The sequence below is a fragment of the Homo sapiens genome, chromosome 11 (assembly GCF_000001405.40).
Source record: "Homo sapiens chromosome 11, GRCh38.p14 Primary Assembly".
NCBI classification, from domain to species: domain Eukaryota; kingdom Metazoa; phylum Chordata; class Mammalia; order Primates; family Hominidae; genus Homo; species Homo sapiens.
In genome coordinates, this window is record NC_000011.10 from 6,168,984 (window position 1) to 6,188,640 (window position 19,657).

General features: G+C 39.8%; 1 protein-coding gene across 1 annotated transcript, besides 2 other annotated features; it reads right to left on the reverse strand.

Moving 5' to 3' along the window:
• Positions 1-371: 371 nt before the first annotated feature.
• OR52B2 (olfactory receptor family 52 subfamily B member 2) lies at positions 372-1,343 on the reverse strand. The gene has a single exon (NM_001004052.1). The coding sequence runs from the start codon at positions 1,341-1,343 to the stop codon at positions 372-374; it is 972 nt and encodes a 323-aa protein (NP_001004052.1).
• Positions 16,017-16,717: an enhancer, noted in NCBI's record as "OCT4-NANOG-H3K27ac-H3K4me1 hESC enhancer chr11:6206230-6206930 (GRCh37/hg19 assembly coordinates)". NCBI's record gives its function as "activates a minimal SCP1, AML or CMV promoter by ChIP-STARR-seq in naive H9 embryonic stem cells {active_cell/tissue: H9 hESC(naive)}" and the evidence as "EXISTENCE:reporter gene assay evidence [ECO:0000049][PMID:30033119]".
• Positions 16,718-17,416: an enhancer, noted in NCBI's record as "OCT4-NANOG-H3K27ac-H3K4me1 hESC enhancer chr11:6206931-6207629 (GRCh37/hg19 assembly coordinates)". NCBI's record gives its function as "activates a minimal SCP1, AML or CMV promoter by ChIP-STARR-seq in naive H9 embryonic stem cells {active_cell/tissue: H9 hESC(naive)}" and the evidence as "EXISTENCE:reporter gene assay evidence [ECO:0000049][PMID:30033119]".

A 19,657-nucleotide genomic window follows, 5' to 3' on the forward strand; every position in this document is an offset into this window, starting at 1 on the left:
CACATTTGGGATTTTTTTAAAAAATTAAAACCCCTTAAAATGGTAAATATAAAATTATTTTTATCCACTTCTTTATAACCTCATTTCATGTGGTGTTCAGATCCCTGCGCTTCTGGCGTCTATCTAGTCTACTGAGGGTACCAAAGCCTCATATCAGAGGCATGTACACTTAGTTATTATTTCTGGGTTGTAGGGAGGAATATGTAAAGAGGTTAGAGAAAACAAACAAGAGAAGGAGGAAGAATTATGAGAAAAGAAAGAAAAGTTGGGGGCGGAAGATGAAATAGAAAGAAGAGGAAGAAAAGCCTTCTCAGTCCAGGAAATCTCTGTATTTCACATCTAGCTTCCTTGAAGGAGCTGGACATGAAGATTCATGAGCCCAGAGGGGAGGTACAGCACCAAGTCTTGATGTCAAAGAACCGGTGGGCTACACCCTCACGTATCTGCTTAGTCTTCACACCATAGACAATGGGGTTCAGCATTGGTGGCACTGCCACATAAAGATTGGCCAGCAAGATATGGACATGTTGAGGAATATTACGCCCAAAATGATGGGTCAATAAGGTAAAGAAGGATGGAACATAAAACATAAGGATGACACAGAGGTGGGAGCCACAAGTGCTGAGGGCCTTGTGCCGAGCATCCTGGGAGGGCAAACGAAACACTGCTCGGAGGATCAGTGAGTAAGACACAGCGATGAGGATAACATCCAAGATGACCATGACAATGGGCACTGAGAAGCCATACCAAATGTTAACAGTGATGTCAGCACAGGCTAAACGAGCCACTCCAATATGCTCACAGTAGGAGTGAGGAACAATGTTGGTTAGGCAGAAGGGCAGCCGCTTCAGCAAGAATATGACTGGGAAGATGATGCAGAAGCTTCGGGTGATGACGGCCAGAGCAATCCTCCCCACAACAGGCCATGTTAGCACTGTTGTATATCTCAGTGGGGCACAAATGGCCACAAAGCGATCAAAGGCCATGGCTAACAGGATAGCTGACTCCCCCACAAACATCATATGGACAAAGAAGCCTTGGGTGACACAGGCATCAAAAGCAATGTTATGTGCTTGAAGCCAAAAGATGGCTAGGGCCTTGGGCACAGTGGTGGTAGACAGCAGGATGTCCATGACGGCCAGCATTGAGAGGAAGAAATACATGGGCACATGAAGGTTACGTTCCATGACAATAACCACTATCAGGATGCTGTTTCCCAGGACTGCAGTGATGTAAATGAGGCAAAGAGGTATTGACAGCCAAATGTGATAAGCCTCCAACCCAGGGATGCCAGGAAGGACAAAAACTGCAGGATGGAAGATGGTAACATTGGTGTGACTCATGATGCACTTTATGGTCCTCTCTATAATGACTTAGAAGCTGATGAGTCTACTGAAAGTGATAGAAACAGAAAGCACTCCCGAATATGTATAAATATCATAAAAGACAGCATGGATTTCTAAATTGCTGGACTCTCCAGCAGCAAGTACTCCCAGAGAATGTTCACTTGGTATAGGAATGGCTTCTGGCCCATAGTGCTTCCTTTGCAGATAGAGCTTCTGTGGCAATAATGCTTCAAGTATGAACAGAAGTGGCAGCACCTTCCTGCAACCACCCTGCCCCCAGAGTTTGGCCTCACTCTCCCTTTCTGACCTCATTCTACTATTTCCACACAAGCAGCATTTTCCACCTACCTGTGTTGTACTTGTCCCTTTCCCCAAGATTTTGTTCTGCATTTACCTTTAATTTCCCTCCCCTTCTACTTCTGTTTAACAAAATTTTAACCTTAAAATAAGTCCTCAAGACATACCACTTTGTAATGGTCTGTGTTCATAGCAATATATCTCCTTCCTAAAAAACTATTAACTAAACTATATTTTAACTGGGTTATATTTAATCCTATTAAGTTTATCTGGCTATTGCCTTGAACATTTCACAGGACACTTGCACCTCTGGCCCCTTGTGCAAGGGAGTAGAGTATCAAGTGGGAATCCAGAGGAAGCCTAGAGGGGTACATTTCTCCACTCTGATCCAGATTCATATCTTCCCTAATGCAGTGAGCAATGGGGCAGCCAATGAAACTGAGACAGGCAATTTTCATCACCAGCTCCTCATGGACTTCTCATGCTCCTCCTCAAATATTTCTATACAGGAGCCTCTTGGTTATGTCTGGGCTTCCTTATCTGTAGAAGCCCCCCAGGAAAACGATTCTGAGCAAAAGAAATCAATCTATTGCCCACCTGTAAACTCTGCTGACTCCACTAATACTGCCCTTCTTCCCACCCCACTGTTCCCCAACGCTCAGAAGGAACCATGTTTCCCTGCTGCCAAGAAGGATTAAGTATAGAGCCCTTCTTGGCTTGCCTGCCACTCAGGTAATATTTGTTTCATTCTGAAGTTCTGAACTATCTGTCAGCTATTAGGACTAGGGAAAGAGTGTATGATTAAGAATCTAGAAGGGAACATGAAGAAAAGGGACCACAGAGACAGTAAAGAGAGAATCAGAACTATAAAGGTACCAAATAAACACTAGACTGATCTTCTGATAATGGTATTCAGAGGGCCCCAAAGAAGAGATGCAAAGGAATCAAATCCTCAGTTTATTAGTCCATCCCTCTGCCTCTATGCAAATGAACTTTCTCAGAGCACAGTGGGCTGTGGGGAGGGAGCAATGGGACTCCAGATGGGTACAAGGAAGGGAATAGAGCCAGATCCAGACAAGTAAAGGCCGCAGGCAGGCTAATAATCTGACAGCATTCAAGTCAGTATATTTTAAATATTTGGGCCAGGCACAGTGTCTCATGCCTATAATCCCAGAAGTTTGGGAGGCCAAGATGGGAGGATCGCTTGAGGCCAGGTATTCAAGACCTGCCTAGGTAACATAACAAGACCCTGTCGCTACAAAACAATTTAAAAATTAGCCGGGAATGGTGGCACGCACCTGTAGTCCCAGCTACTTGGAGGCGGAGGCAGGAGGATCTCTTGAGCCCAGGAGTTTGGGGCTGCAGTGAATGAGCTATGATGGCACCACTGCACTCCAGCCTAGGTGATGGAGCAAGACTCTGTCTCTTTAAAATATATATATATACATATATGTATATATATAAAATACATATTATATGTACACATATATGTATATATATATGTGCGTGTGTATATATGTATGTTCAACTTCTACTTAGAAGAGAGGCTGAGCTTTGCTGGAATGAGCACAGAGAAGAAGTCATTAGTAGCACTGCTCTGGCTCTATTTTAAAGTATTGAACTCAAATTTATACAAGCAAAAGCCCCAGCAAAAAAAACAAATTCATTTTCCTTAGGAGGAAATTTATTGGACATTTATTTTCTCACAACTTTCCCAACCCCTCCAGTTATTAACATACTCCTTCTCAATAAAACAGTAAGACACCTGATATACGTCCTCATCAAAACAAGTCTGCTCTCTGCTTATGACTCTGTGATGTTTTATCACTCCAACAGTGAGTACCAAAGGCAGGGTGGAGAGAGGGGCAATGAGGCCTAGATGGCTGTTAATGAGGTCCTGGAAAGGAGGTTACTGCCCATGGAAAGAAGGACTTTCATTTTATCCAGTGGCGTCTTAGAGCTCCATCAAAGCCCTGCTGCTCCTCTGTCAAGCACCTTTGGAGCGTTCGAGCCTCATTTAGGAAAGAGTTAAGGGTGAGAAGAAAGGAAACTCACAGGCAAAAAGAGGAATATCCAACGTCTCCCAGAAGTACCTCCCAGAGCTCCCAAGAGAACATCCAGCTGAGCGAGAAAAAAAAGAGCCAGAATAGTAGAGATGGAGCAGGAGCCAAGCTAGCTGGGAAAGAACACAACAAAGAAGGTGTAGATATTAAGTTCCGGAGCCAGACTTTCTGCATTCATTTCCCAGTTCTTCCCTAACTAACTAGATCTTGGGCAAGTCACTTTACTTCTGCATGCCTCAGTTTTTTTATTTGTAAGATGTGGATACCTGGGGAGGGGGGAGGGATAGCATTGGGAGATATACCTAATGCTAGATGACACGTTAGTGGGTGCAGCGCACCAGCATGGCACATGTATACATATGTAACTAACCTGCACAATGTGCACATGTACCCTAAAACTTAGAGTATAATAAAAAAAAAAATTAAAAAAAAAATTAAAAAAAATAAAAAAAAAAAAAGAATCCCTGATATAAAAAAAAAAAAAAAAAAAAAAAAAAGGATGTGGATACCAAAAAAAACTTCATGTGGTAATTGTGGGGATTAAATAAGTTTGTATTGAGTGCTCAGAAAAGTAGGTTACTATTCTTGTTTATATCATCATCATCATCATCATTATTACCTCTGTTTGGCCATCATTCTCTTGTATTTTTTCCAGTAGGCAAAACACCTTAATGAATATTTAGCAACATTAAAGTCTTATTCTTCATCCAAATATGACCAAAGGAAACTCCTTTCTCAGGAAGAAAGAGGAGGAAAAGGAATGAAGGAAGTGCCCAATGAAAGGAAAATAGCCTGAGACCAGATCTCTCAGATAAACCTGGTGTCTCAAAAACCAGACCCAAGGGCTTTGGGTGGTGCACCAGGCATATCCACTACTGATGGACTTAGCTTGGGTGAGGACTACCTGGCAGTCTTCCTGTAAATGCTCTGAAAAACATCCACCTGTCTCAACACAAAGAGAAATTATCTCCATCATTTACAGAAGCCTCAGGAACATCACAGAACAATGGGAGTCAGCTTCAACTGCAGAACTGAGGAGATTTGGAAGTGGGAATTATAGAGAAGATTTGGTCCACACTTTAAAGGCGAAATGGAGCCCACTTCTCTGCAGCTCCTGACCAGACTTCCTAACCAGCTCTATTTTTTGGTAATAACTGTTTCCTCTTTAGGGGGTTATATAAAGGTCTTTTATGTCTTTATGCAATCTCAATTCAGAAGACTCTCCTTCCATCATAACAATGTATTCAAATGTGTTCACAAACCACATGTGATATAATTTTTAGGTAACTATACAGGAGTTGAGTTACCTTTTTGCCGAGTTGTATTATCTAGATATTTATTTATACAAGTATTAATTTCACTTTGCCATTTTCCTTGTTATGTGCATTTTAGATGTCAAGTATTTTTCACAAGTCTTAGGTTCTTCAAAATGCACAGTCTCTGTACACTAAAGCCATGTCCCTAATGGATAAAACAGCTGCAAACCTCACTACCCCACTGTCCTCTGCTTGTAAGACTGGTCTCTGTTTGCAGCACAATATATTGCAGGCTTTGTTATAATAAGTGTCATAAGAAATTTGTTTCTAATAACATATAAGGTCTCAAAATTTATAAATTATTTACCCTTCTAATATATTGGGGAAAATTCAGATGTATACCTTTAATAAGCTCACTCTTGCCCATGTGCACTTAAAGCTAGCATGTAAGAAGATGTTTTCATAATCTAAAGCCAGTGCTATCCATGATGCAGAGGCACTAAAATTCCCTTAATTCAGACAACCCTTAACAGTAACTCATGGTTTTTTAATTACTTATTTTTTAGCTGACGAATAAAAATGGTATACATTTATGTTGTACAACATGATGTTTTGATAAATGTATACATTGTGGAATGGCTAAATCAAGCCAATTCATGCTTATTACCTCACATATTTATTTTTTGTTGTTAAAACATTTAAAATCTACTCTCAGCAATTTTCAAGTATATAATATATTGTTATTAACTATAGTCAGCATGATGTTCAATAGATTTTTTAAACGTATTCCTCCTAATTGTATTGTTTTTTCATTTGACCAACATCTCTCTAATCACCCCTGAATCTCAAGCCTCTGGCAACCAGCATGATTTACTTTTGTAATGAATAAACATCTTGAGAAAAATTCCCACCTATCCATTTGTTTTACTATCTATAAACATTTTGGGTATTTTGCCAAGCTTGAGTAAGCATATGGTGATGTATCATGTGTAAATATCTTCTATGTTCTTGTGATGTAGTAGCAAAAATGTGGAGAACCCCAGCCCCAAAGCACCACCTCTTCCTTCCCAATGTCTATATCTGTTCTACAAGATGCAGGACAAAAAAAACAAAACAAAACAAAAAACTGAAAAAAAAAACAAAAACAAAAAACAGAAAAAAGAGGATTTTTCAAGTTTAGACACAACTGACACCAAGATTACCAAAAGAAAGTTTCCTTAAGACTTTGGGACTGAGGAGCTCATAGCACTAAGTACAGAGCCTGACACATTGTAGGTTCTTAGGAAATATTTGAAAAAAATAAGCCATGGAATTAGTGAATTAATCTTTCTCCAGTAGCTTTGCTTATTTCCCCAAAACAAGGTGTTGATCAAAACCCAAGCCATTTTCATGAATAGCACCCACTAATATACCCTTCCCTGGTATAGTCTGATTCTGATGGCTCTAAAAACTGCCCTGAAACCCTTAAACAGGAAGTTTTCTCTTTCTCATGTGCTCCTGGTGCTTTTCCTTGCCCCTCTCTGCGTTCCTATTCCTATCTCTCATCAGTGTTTACCGCCTAAACCCACTGATGTATCTCCCAATGCCCACACTCCCCACTCTATGCTGTCATGCTGCAATCCCTCTCTCATCCTTTGTCTCACTGACCCCTTATCTTTCTCCCACATACCCATTTCTTTCTTCACAACTGCAGCCTTTGTCCTTTACAGATACCCCTAAATACACAAACACACACTCTCTCTCTCTCTCTCTCACTCACACACACACACACACCTGCCAATCCCTCCCTCTGCCACCACCAATGCTCTTAAACTCACCTACTGTATCACAATATCAGCTGAAGGATTGAGAAAATGGTAGGGAAGAGCTGAAAAAAAACTCACTTTGCTTATTCTGAGGAAAGAAGAATGAAAAGAAAAGAGAAAGCTGGTGGCATGAGGAGATGTCACTGTTCCTGCCCTGTACAGGACCCTTATATCTGCACACTGAGAAGCTACACGCTTCCTTCTTCTGGAGGCAGGTGTCGGAGTCACCCCTGGGATCATTGAGCCTGGGGTCAATGAGCAAAAGGAGATACAAAAACACTTCCCCTAGTGCCAACAGGGAACACTAACTCTAGGGATAATTAGTAGCTCCAGACAGAAAGTGCATAAAGTATTAGAAGACACAGCATAGAGCAATGACAGAAATCTCAACAATAAAATAACATAATAACAGCTAACATTTGTTGATCGATTACTATATCCCTGTCACTATGTTAAGTTTTTAACATAAATTATCTTATTTAATTATCAGAACAACCCAATGAGAAAAGGCACCATTATTATGTATCCATTTTGCAGATGAGAAAATGGAGGCTTAGAAAGACTAAGTAGTTGATAAGCAGAAAAGACAAAAGTCCTCAAGTGAACATGTCAAAGTGTTCTGACTCAGTATGAAAACACTCATTAATTCCTCAGAAACTATAATTTTGGAGGAGTAATTTTGAAGCAACCCTACAGGGTCAATCACTGAAGATAAGTTCAAGAAAAAAAGAACAGAATAAATGAAGATTGACTAAAATGTGTGCATCATTCAAAGCAAAATTTATAAGCACGTAAAAAGATGCTCAATGTCACTAATTATCAGGGAAATGCAAATCAAAAATCACAATGCGCACCTAACACCCATTAGGATGGCTACCATAAAAAATCTGAAATTTAAATGTAAAAACAGAAAGTAAGTTTTTGCCAGGATTTGCAGACATCGGAGCCCAGTGCACTGTTGGGGGGAATGTAAAATGATACAATCACTGTGGAAAGCAGAATAGTGGTTCCTCAAAAACTTAAAAATACAATTATCATATGATATAGCAATTCTACTTCTAGGCATATATTCAAAAGAATTGAAAGCCAAGTCCTGAAAAGATAATTGTACAACCATGTTCACAGCAGCATTTTTCATAATTGCTAAAACACAGAGGGAACTGTGTCCATCGACAGATGAATAGGTAAGCAAAATATTATATATACCTGCAATGGAATATTATTCAGCTTTAAAAGGGACAGAAATTCTGACATATGCAACAATAGGGATGAGCCTTGAAGACATTGTACTAAGTGAAATTAACCAGTCACAAAAAGACAAGTGGAATCATACAATTCCACTTACATGAGCTACTTACAGTAGTGAAAATCACTGAGATGGAAAGTAGAATGGTGGCTGCCAGGGGCTTAGGGGAAAGGGAATGGGGAGTCATTGCTTAGTAGGTATAGAGTTTTAGTTTTATAAGATGAAAAGAGCTCTGGAAATGGATTGTGGTGATGGTTGCACAATATAGATGTACTTAATCTCACTGAACTATACAATTAAAAAATGGTCAACATGGTAAATTTTATGATATGTAAATTTCACCATAATAGAAAACTGAAGAAAAAAGTAAATTTACCTTCTATGAGCATTTAATTAAAGTACTCCAACATTGTTGAGAGGAGAATAATTCTTCCCAAATCATCTTGTAACTTTTGGAGCAATGAAATAGCTAGGAATCCAACAATGGGGAAGAGGGGGTAGAATACCAGTGTTAGATATTTACTAAAAAAAAAAACACACAAGAAGTCTTGTACACAAATGTTATAGTGGCTTTATTTATGATAACCAAAAGTTGAGAAAAAAAAAAGAAATGTCCACCGACAGGAGAATGGACAAACCAATTGTGATATATTCATACCATGAAATATTATTCAGCAATTAAAATGAGCAAACTACTAAAACATGCAACAATACAGACTAAACTCAAGATCTTTATGTCAAGTGAAAGAATCCAGATACAAAAGTCTACATGCTGTAGGATTGCATTTATATGAGGTTCTACAACAGATAAAACCTAGTCCACAGTGTAGAAATAAGAATAGCAATTGTCTCTGGGGTGGGAAGAACCAGAGGACATTTCTTTGATGAAAATATTCTACATTCTGAGGTGAGTGTAAGTTACATAGGTGTCTGCAATTGTCCAAAGGACTTTTGGGGCTATTAGTAAAGAATAAACAGCAATGGAAAGAGCAGAAATATGAGTAAATTCTTCTCATCAGTTCTTTATAATATATGCAATAATTAAAACAAATTATAAACCATCTGATAGTAAAGACAATGATATTTAAAAGTGGAAAGAGTAAAGGAACTTAAATAAAAGTAAAGTTTCCACAAAAGTGGTGAAATATCGATACTAGCAGACTATCATGAGTCACATATGTGTATTTTAATACACAAAGCAATCACTAAGAAAATTATACAAAGCAATACACTGAAAAACACTATAAATCAGGGGTCCTGTAGCCTGTTAGGAACCAGGCCACACAGAAGGAGTTGGGCGGCAGGCAAGCGAGCATTACCACCTGAGCTCTGCCTCCTGTCAGATCTGCCACACATTACAGTCTCATAGGAGCCTGAACCCTATTGAGAACTGAGCATGTGAGGGACCTAGGTTGCGTGCTCTTTATGATAATCTAATGCCTGATGATCTAAGGTGAAACAGTTTCATCCTGAAACCATCCGCCCTTCCCCTGTCTGTGGAAAAATTGTTGTCCACAAAACTGGTCCCTGGTGCCAAAAAAAGGGTGGGGACTGGTGCTATAAATAAATCAACAGGAAATCCTAAAAATATTCAAGTAACCCACAGAAATGGAAGAAAACAGAAACAGAGGAATAAGACACAGAAGAAACAAAGAGAAAACAATAAAATGGCAGGAAAACCATAACATATTAATAATTGCCATAACTGTAATGGTCTAAATACACCAATTAAAAAACAGATTGGCAAAGTGGAAAAATAAAATATGATCCAACTATATGATGTTTACAAGAATTAACTTCAAATTCAATGACATAGGTAGACTGAAAATACAAGTTTGCAAAAAATGTATCATGCAACTATTTATCCAAAAAGAAAGCAAGAATGCTAATATTTCAGAAAAAGTGGACTACAGGGCAAAGAAAATTACTGGTGATAAAGTCACACATTACAAAATGATAAAGTAATCAATTCACCATGAAGATACAATCTCAAGTATGTAGGCTTCAAACAACAGAGTCTCAAAACATTTTCAGAAGCAAAAACTGAAATAAATGAAGGGAGAAATAGACAAATCCACAATTAAAATTTGGGAACTCAAAAGCCACCTTGCAGTTGAAGTTCTATCTCAGCAACTCATAACAGAACTACAGGGTTCCAAGATGGCCAAATAGGAACAGTTCCAGTCTACAGCTCCCAGCGTGAGCGACGCAGAAGACAGGTGATTTCTGCATTTCCAACTGAGGTACTGGGTTCATCTCACTGGGGCTTGTCGGACAGTGGGTGCAGCACATCAAACGCGAGCTGAAGCAGAGCGAGGCATCGCCTCACCTGGGAAGCACAAGGGGTCAGGGAATTCCCATTCATAGCCAAGCAAAGCTGTGACAGACGGCACCTGGAAAATCGGGTCACTCCCACCCTAATATTGTGCTTCTCCAATGGTCTTAGCAAACGGCACACCAGGAGATCATATCCTGCGCCTGGCTCAGAGGGTCCCACACCCATGGAGCCTTGCTTATTGCTAGCACAGCAGTCTGAGATCAAACTGCAAGGTGGCAGCGAGGCTGGGGGAGGGGCGCCCGCCATTGCTGAGGCTTGAGTAGGTAAACAAAGCTGCCAGGAAGCTCGAACTGGGTGGAGCCCACCACAGCTCAAGGAGGCCTGCCTGCCTCTGTAGACTCCACCTCTGGGGGCAGGGCATAGACAAACAAAAGGCAGCAGAAACCTCTGCAGACTTAAATGTCCCTGTCTGACAGCTTTGAAGAGAGTAGTGGTTCTCCCAGCACGGAGTTTGAGATCTGAGAACGGACAGACTGCCTCCTTAAGTGGGTCCCTGACCCCTGAGTAGCCTATATGGGAGGCACCCCCCGAGTAGGGGAAGACTGACACCTCACACAGCCGGGTACCCCTCTGAGACGAAACCTCCAGAGAAACGATCAGACAGCAACATTTGCTGTTCAGCAATATTCACTGTTCTGCAGCCTCTGCTGCTGATACCCAGGCAAACAGGGTCTGGAGTGGACCTCCAGCAAACTCCAACAGACCTGCAGCTGAGGGTCCTGACTGTTAAACTAACAAACAGAAAGGATATCCACACCAAAACGCCATCTGTATGTCACCATCATCAAAGACCAAAGGTAGATAAAACCACAAAGATGGGGAAGAAACAGAACAGAAAAACAAAATTCTAAAAATCAGAACACCTCTCCTCCTCCAAAGGAACGCAGCTCCTCACCAGCAATGGAACAAAGCTGGACGGAGAATGACTTTGATGAGCTGAGAGAAGAAGGCTTCAGATGATCAGACTTCTCCAGGCTAAAGGAGGAAGTTCAAACCCATTGCAAAGAAGTTAAAAACCTTGAAAAAAGACTAGATGAATGGCTAACTAGAATAATCAATGCAGAGAAGTCCTTAAAGGACCTGATGGAGCTGAAAACCATGGCACAAGAACTACTTTAAAGTTCATATGGAACCAAAAAAGAGCCCGCATTGCCAAGTCAATCCTAAGCCAAAAGAACAAAGCTGGAGGCATCATGCTACCTGACTTCAAACTATACTATAAGGCTACAGTAACCAAAACAGCATGGTACTGGTACCAAAACAGAGAAATAGACCAATGGAACAGAACAGAACCCTCAGAAATAATACCACACATCTACAACTACCTGATCTTTGACAAACCTGAGAAAAACAAGAAATGGGGAAAGGAGTCCCTGTTTAACAAATGATGCTGGGAAAACTGGCTAGCCATATATAGAAAGCTGAAACTGGATCCCTTCCTTACACCTTATACAAAAATTAATTCAAGATGGATTAAAGACTTAAATGTTAGACCTAAAACCATAAAAACCCTAGAAGAAAACCTAGACAATATCATTCAGGACATAGGCATGGGCAAGGACTTCATGTCTAAAACACCAAAAGCAATGGCAACAAAAGCCAAAATGGACAAATGGGATCTCATTAAACTAAAGAGTTTCTGCACAGCAAAAGAAACTACCATCAGAGTGAACAGGCAACCTACAGAATGGGAGAAAATTTTTGCAACCTACTCGTCTGACAAAGGGCTAATATCCGGAATCTACAAAGAACTCAAACAAATTTACAAGAAAAAAAAAAAAAAACCCCATCAAAAAGTGGGCAAAGGATATGAACAGACACTTCTCAAAAGAAGACTTTTATGCAGCCAACAGACACATGAAAAAATGTTCATCATCACTGGCCATCAGAGAACTGCAAATCAAAACCACAATGAGATAACATCTCACACCAGTCAGAATGGCAATCATTAAAAAGTCAGGAAACAACAGGTGCTGGAGAGGATGTGGAGAAATAGGAACACTTTTACACTGTTGGTGGGACTGTAAACTAGTTCCACCATTGTGGAAGTCAGTGTGGCGATTCCTCAGGGATCTAGAACTAGAAATACCATTTGACCCAGCAATCCCATTACTGGGTATATACCCAAAGGATTATAAATCATGCTGCTATAAAAACACATGCACATGTATGTTTATTGCGGCACTATTCACAATAGCAAAGACTTGGAACCAACCCAAATGTCCAACAATGATAGACTGGATTAAGCAAATGTGGCACATATACACCATGGAATACCATGCAGCCATAAAAAATGATGAGTTCATGTCCTTTGTAGGGACATGGATGAAGTTGGAAACCATCATTCTCAGCAAACTATCGCAAGGACAAAAAACCAAACACCACATGTTCTCACTCATAGGTGGGAACTGAACAATGAGAACACCTGGACACAGGAAGGGGAACATCACACACCAGGGCCTGTTGTGGGGTTGGGGGGAAGGGGGAGGGATAGCATTAGGAGATATACCTAATGTAAATGACGAGTTAATGGGTGCAGCACACCAACATGGCACATGTATACATATGTAGCAAACCTGCAAGTTGTGCACATGTACTCTAGAACTTAAAGTATAATAAAAGAAAATTAAAAAAAAACAGAACTACAAGACAGAATATCAGTAAGGATATAGAACTACCAAAAAGTGAAATTACATAGACTGTGTTCCTGACAATACTGGAATCAAACTGGAAATCAATAACAGAGGGAGAACAAGAAAGTCTCTAAATAATTAGAAATTAAATAATAGACTTCTAAATAAAGTATGGGTCAAAAAAGTCATAAAATAATTTTTTTAAAAAACAGAACTGAATGGAAATGAAAATATAAAATATAAAAATGGGTGGGATATGGCTAAAGAAATGCTGAAAGGAATTTTTAGCACTACGTGCCTACATTAGAAAAAAGAAAAGGTCTCAAATCAATAATCAAAGTTCCTATCCCAAGAAACTAGGGGAGAAAGAGAAAAATAAGCCCAAAGCAAACAAAAACAAGAAAGTAATAAAGTTACGAGCAGAAATTAAAGAAATTGAAAAATGGAAAAATAAAAAAATCAATAAAATTAAAAGCTGGCTCTTCAACACATCATGAAAATTAATAAGCCATCTAGCAAGACTGACAAAGAGAAGATACAAATCATCAATATGAGGAATAAAACGGGGGAATCTCACTATAGATTCTAGTATCACCACAAAAAATAAGGAAAAAATATGAACAACTTTATGCTCACAAATTTGACTGTTTAGAAAAAATAGACCAATTTATCAAAACCCACAAATTTTCTTTAAACTCAAGACAAAATAGATAATCTGAGAATAGCCTCATAACTATTTTTAGAATGGAATCTTTAATTAATAAAAAAGAACTCTCCAGGCCCAGATGGTTTCATTGAAGAATTCTACTGAACTTTAAAGAATTAACACCAATTATTACATGATTCTTTCCAGAAAATAGAAGACTAGGAAACACTTCTCAAGCAGCCAATATTGCCCCAAACCAAAATCAGATGAAGATCATACAGAAAACAACCCTCAAAACATTAGCAAATTAAATCCAACAATGTATTTTTAAAAATTATATGCCACAACCAAGTGAGATTTTTTTCCAGGTTTGTAAAGTTGGTTCAACATTCAACAATCAATCAGTGTAATTTACCATATGAATAAGCTCAAGAAGAAAAATCATAAAATCATATCCATTGAAGCAGGAAAACCTTTTGCCAAAACCCAATATCCATTCATAACTAAAACTCTTAGCAATGTAGAACAGAGAACTACCATAACTTGATAAAGAGCATTAACAAAAAAACCTGCAGCTAACATCGTACTAATGGTGAAAATGGAATGCTGTTTCTGTAAGGTCAGGAACATGACAAAGATATCCATTCATCAATCTTGTTCAACATCATACTGGAATTTCTGGCCACTTCCATAAGATAAGAAAAAGAAATAAAAGGCATACAGATGGGAAATTGTTAGTAGGAATGTAAATGGTATACCCACTCATAAAATAGTTTGGGTATCTTAGCTCAGACTGCTGTTAACAAAAATATCATAGACTGGGTGACTTTACCATTTATTTCTCACACTTCTGAAGGCTGGGAAATCCAAGATGAAGCCAGCAGCAGATTTAGTGTCTAATAAGCAGCTTCCTGGTTCATAGCTAGCTGTCTTCTCACTGTTTCATCATATGGCAGAAGGGATAAGGGAGCTCTCTGGGGTTTCTTTTACAAGGGCACTAATCCCATTCATTAGAGTTCTGCTTTCATGACATAACCACCTCCCAAAGGCCCATTGTCAAATACCATCACATTGGGAATTAGGTTTTAACATATAAACTTGGGGTGACATAAACATTCAGTCTATAGCAGGCAGTTTCTTATAAAACTAAACATCTAAATATGCCACTATATATGACCCAGCAATTGTACCCTTGGGCATTTATCTCAGAAAAATAAAAATTATGTTTCCAAAGAAAACTCATATACAACAGTTCACTGAAGCTTTATTACTATTAGCCAAAAACTGGAAACATGCTAGATATCCTTCAACAGATGAACAGTTAAACAAACTGAGGCACATTTATACAATAAAATACCACTTGGCCAGGCACGGTGGCTCACACCTGTAATCCCAGGACTTTGGGAGGCCAAGGTGGGTGGATCACCTAAGTCAAGAGTTCAAGACCAGCCTGGCCAATATGGTGAAACCCCATCTCTACTAAAACTACAAAATTAGCCAGGTGTGGTGGCACATGCATGTAATCCCAGCTACTTGGGAGGCTGAGGCAGGAGACTCGCTTGAACCTGGGAGGCAGAGGTTGCAGTAAGCTGAGATCGTGCCACTGCACTCCAGCATGGGCAACAAGAGTGAAAACTCCATCTCAAAAAAAAAAAAAAAACCACTTAGTAGTAAAATGAATGAACTATTTATATACTGAGTCAAAAAAATTCCAAAGGGTTACATACTGTAGGATTTCATTTATATAACATTCTTGAAATGACAAAATTATAGAAATGGAAAAAAAAGAGTAGTGGTTTCTAGGGGTTATCACTGGAGGTGTAGGAAGGAAGGAATGAGGTAGATATGCCTATAAAAGGGCAAAAGGAGGGATCTTTGCAGTGCTGCAGCTAGTCTGTATCTTGATTTTACCAATGTCACTCTACTGGTTGTGGACACTGTACTATAGTTTTGCAAGGTATTATTATTGGGGGAAATTAGACAAATATTACCTGAAATCTCTCTGTATTGTTTCTTACAACTACAAGCGAATATACAGTAACCTATAATGAAAAATGTATGTGTATGTGAAATTGGCTACAGTCGTGCACTACATAATGACATTTCAATCAAAGACAGATTACGTATACAGTAACGGTCCCATAAGATTATAGTGTCATATTTTTGCTTTACCTTTTCTATGTTTAGAGACTTACCATTGTGTTACCACTCCCTGCTATATTTAGTACAGTAACGTGCTATACAGGTGTGTACCTTTGGAGCAATAGGCTATACCCTACAGCCTAGATGCATAGTAGGCTACACCACCTAGGTTGGTGTAAGTACACTCTATGATGTTCGCAAAACAACTAAATCACCTAATGATGTATTTCTTAGAACATATCCACATCACTAAACAACACATAACTGTATTTAAAAAGAACAGCTGTATCTATTGACCTAAAGAATGTATGCAATATGTTATTGTTAAATATTTAAGTATAGTACTCAGTATAAAGTAGGTGCTCATTATTTATTGAATGACTAAAAGGAAATTATGGAAAATATATATATTATTTGATTCCAAAATTATAAAAATAAAAAAACTAAAAACTAAAAATATTTATGTTTGTATAAGTACATATGAGTATGGGGAAATGTGTGAAAAGATGCATAAGAAGATGTTAATAAAAGGTACCTTGGTAGTAGAGGAGAGGCTGGAGAGAGGACAGGATGAAAAGATTATTAAAATTTTCTTGAGGAGCCAAGATGGCCGAATAGAAACAGCTCCGGTCTACAGCTCCCAGCGTGAGCGACGGAGAAGATGGGTGATTTCTGCATTTCCATCTGAGGTACCGGGTTCATCTCACTAGGGAGTGCAAGACAGTGGGTGCGGGTCAGTGGGTGCACGCACCGTGCGCGAGCCGAAGCAGGGCGAGGCATTGCCTCACTTGGGAAGCGCAAGGGGTCAGGGAGTTCCCTTTCTGAGTCAAAGAAAGGGGTGACGGATGCACCTAGAAAATCCGGTCACTCCCACCCGAATATTGCGCTTTTCAGACCGCCTTAAAAAACTGCGCACCACGAGATTATATCCCGCACCTGGCTCGGAGGGTCCTACGCCCACGGAGTCTCGCTGATTGCTAGCACAGCAGTCTGAGATCAAACTGCAAGGCGGCAGCGAGGCTGGGGGAGGGGCGCCCGCCATTGCCCAGGCTTGCTGAGGTAAACAAAGCAGCCAGGAAGCTCCAACTGGGTAGAGCCCACCACAGCTCAAGGAGGCCTGCCTGCCTCTGTAGGCTCCACCTCTGGGGGCAGGGCACAGACAAACAAAAAGACAGCAGTAACCTCTGCAGACTTCAATGTCCCTGTCTGACAGCTTTGAAGAGAGCAGTGGTTCTCCCAGCACGCAGCTGGAGATCTGAGAACGGGCAGACTGCCTCCTCAAGTGGGTCCCTGACCCCTGACCCCCGAGCAGCGTAACTGGGAGGCACCCCCCAGCAGAGGCACACTGACACCTCACACGGCAGGGTATTCCAACAGACCTGCAGCTGAGGGTCCTGTCTGTTAGAAGGAAAACTAACAAACAGAAAGGACATCCACACCAAAAACCCATCTGTACATCACCATCATCAAAGACCAAAAGTAGATAAAACCACAAAGATGGGGAAAAAACAGAACAGAAAAACTGGAAACTCTAAAACGCAGAGCGCCTCTCCTCCTCCAAAGGAACGCAGTTCCTCACCAGCAACGGAACAAAGCTGGATGGAGAATGACTTTGACGAGCTGAGAGAAGAAGGCTTCAGACGATCAAATTACTCTGAGCTACGGGAGGACATTCAAACCAAAGGCAAAGAAGTTGAAAACTTTGAAAAAAATTTAGAAGAATGTATAACTAGAATAACCAATACAGAGAAGTGCTTAAAGGAGCTGATGGAGCTGAAAACCAAGGCTCGAGAACTACATGAAGAATGCAGAAGCCTCAGGAGCCGATGCGATCAACTGGAAGAAAGGGTATGAGCAATGGAAGATGAAATGAATGAAATGAAGCGTGAAGGGAAGTTTAGAGAAAAAAGAATAAAAAGAAATGAGCAAAGCCTCCAAGAAATATGGGACTATGTGAAAAGACCAAATCTACGTCTGATTGGTGGACCTGAAAGTGACGGGGAGAATGGAACCAAGTTGGAAAACACTCTGCAGGATATTATCCAGGAGAACTTCCCCAGTCTAGCAAGGCAGGCCAACATTCAGATTCAGGAAATACAGAGAATGCCACAGAGATACTCCTCGAGAAGAGGAACTCCAAGACACACAATTGTCAGATTCACCAAAGTTGAAATGAAGGAAAAAATGTTAAGGGCAGCCAGAGAGAAAGGTCGGGTTACCATCAAAGGGAAGCCCATCAGACTAACAGCGGATCTCTTGGCAGAAACTGTACAAGCCAGAAGAGAGTGGGGGCCAATATTCAACATTCTTAAAGAAAAGAATTTTCAACCCAGAATTTCATATCCAGCCAAACTAAGCTTCATAAGTGAAGGAGAAATAAAATACTTTACAGACAAGCAAATGCTGAGAGATTTTGTCACCACCAGGCCTGCCCTACAAGAGCTCCTGAAGGAAGCACTAAACATGGAAAGGAACAACCGGTACCAGCCGCTGCAAAATCATGCCAAAATATAAAGACCATCGAGACTAGGAAGAAACTGCATCAACTAACGAGCAAAATAACCAGCTAACATCATAATGACAGGATCAAATTCACACATAACAATATTAACTTTAAATGTAAATGGACTAAATGCTCCAATTAAAAGACACAGACTGACAAATTGGATAAAGAGTCAAGACCCATCAGTGTGCTGTATTCAGGAAACCAATCTCACATGCAGAGACACACATAGGCTCAAAATAAAGGGATGGAGGAAGATCTACCAAGCAAATGGAAAACAAAAAAAGGCAGGGGTTGCAATCCTAGTCTCTGATAAAACAGACTTTAAACCAACAAAGATCAAAAGAGACAAAGAAGGCCATTACATAATGGTAAAGGGATCAATTCAACAAGAAGAGCTAACTATCCTAAATATATATGCACCCAATACAGGAGCACCCAGATTCATAAAGCAAGTCCTGAGTGACCTACAAAGAGACTTAGACTCCCACACATTAATAATGGGAGACTTTAACACCCCACTGTCAACATTAGACAGATCAACGAGACAGAAAGTCAACAAGGATACCCAGGAATTGAACTCAGCTCTGCACCAAGCGGACCTAATAGACATCTACAGAACTCTCCACCCCAAATCAACAGAATATACATTTTTTTCAGCACCACACCACACCTATTCCAAAATTGACCACATACTTGGAAGTAAAGCTCTCCTCAGCAAATGTAAAAGAACAGAGATTATAACAAACTATCTCTCAGACCACAGTGCAATCAAACTAGAACTCAGGATTAAGAATCTCACTCAAAACCACTCAACTACATGGAAACTGAACAATCTGCTCCTGAATGACTACTGGATACATAACAAAATGAAGGCAGAAATAAAGATGTTCTTTGAAACCAATGAGAACAAAGACACAACATACCAGAATCTCTGGGACGCATTCAAAGCAGTGTGTAGAGGGAAATTTATAGCACTAAATGCCCACAACAGAAAGCAGGAAAGATCCAAAATTGACACCCTAACATCACAATTAAAAGAACTAGAGAAGCAAGAGCAAACACATTCAAAAGCTAGCAGAAGGCAAGAAATAACTAAAATCAGAGCAGAACTGAAGGAAATAGAGACACAAAAAACCCTTCAAAAAATTAATGAATCCAGGAGCTGGTTTTTTGAAAGGATCAACAAAATTGATAGACCGCTAGCAAGACTAATAAAGAAAAAAAGAGAGAAGAATCAAATAGACGCAAGAAAAAATGATAAAGGGGATATCACCACCGATCCCACAGAAATACAAACTACCATCAGAGAATACTACAAACACCTCTACGCAAATAAACTAGAAAATCTAGAAGAAATGGATAAATTCCTCAACACATAC

Bases quoted from the DNA above. Each gene is read 5' to 3' on its own strand.
- OR52B2 (NM_001004052.1), bottom strand. From the start codon at position 1,343: ATGAGTCACACCAATGTTACCATCTTCCATCCTGCAGTTTTTGTCCTT.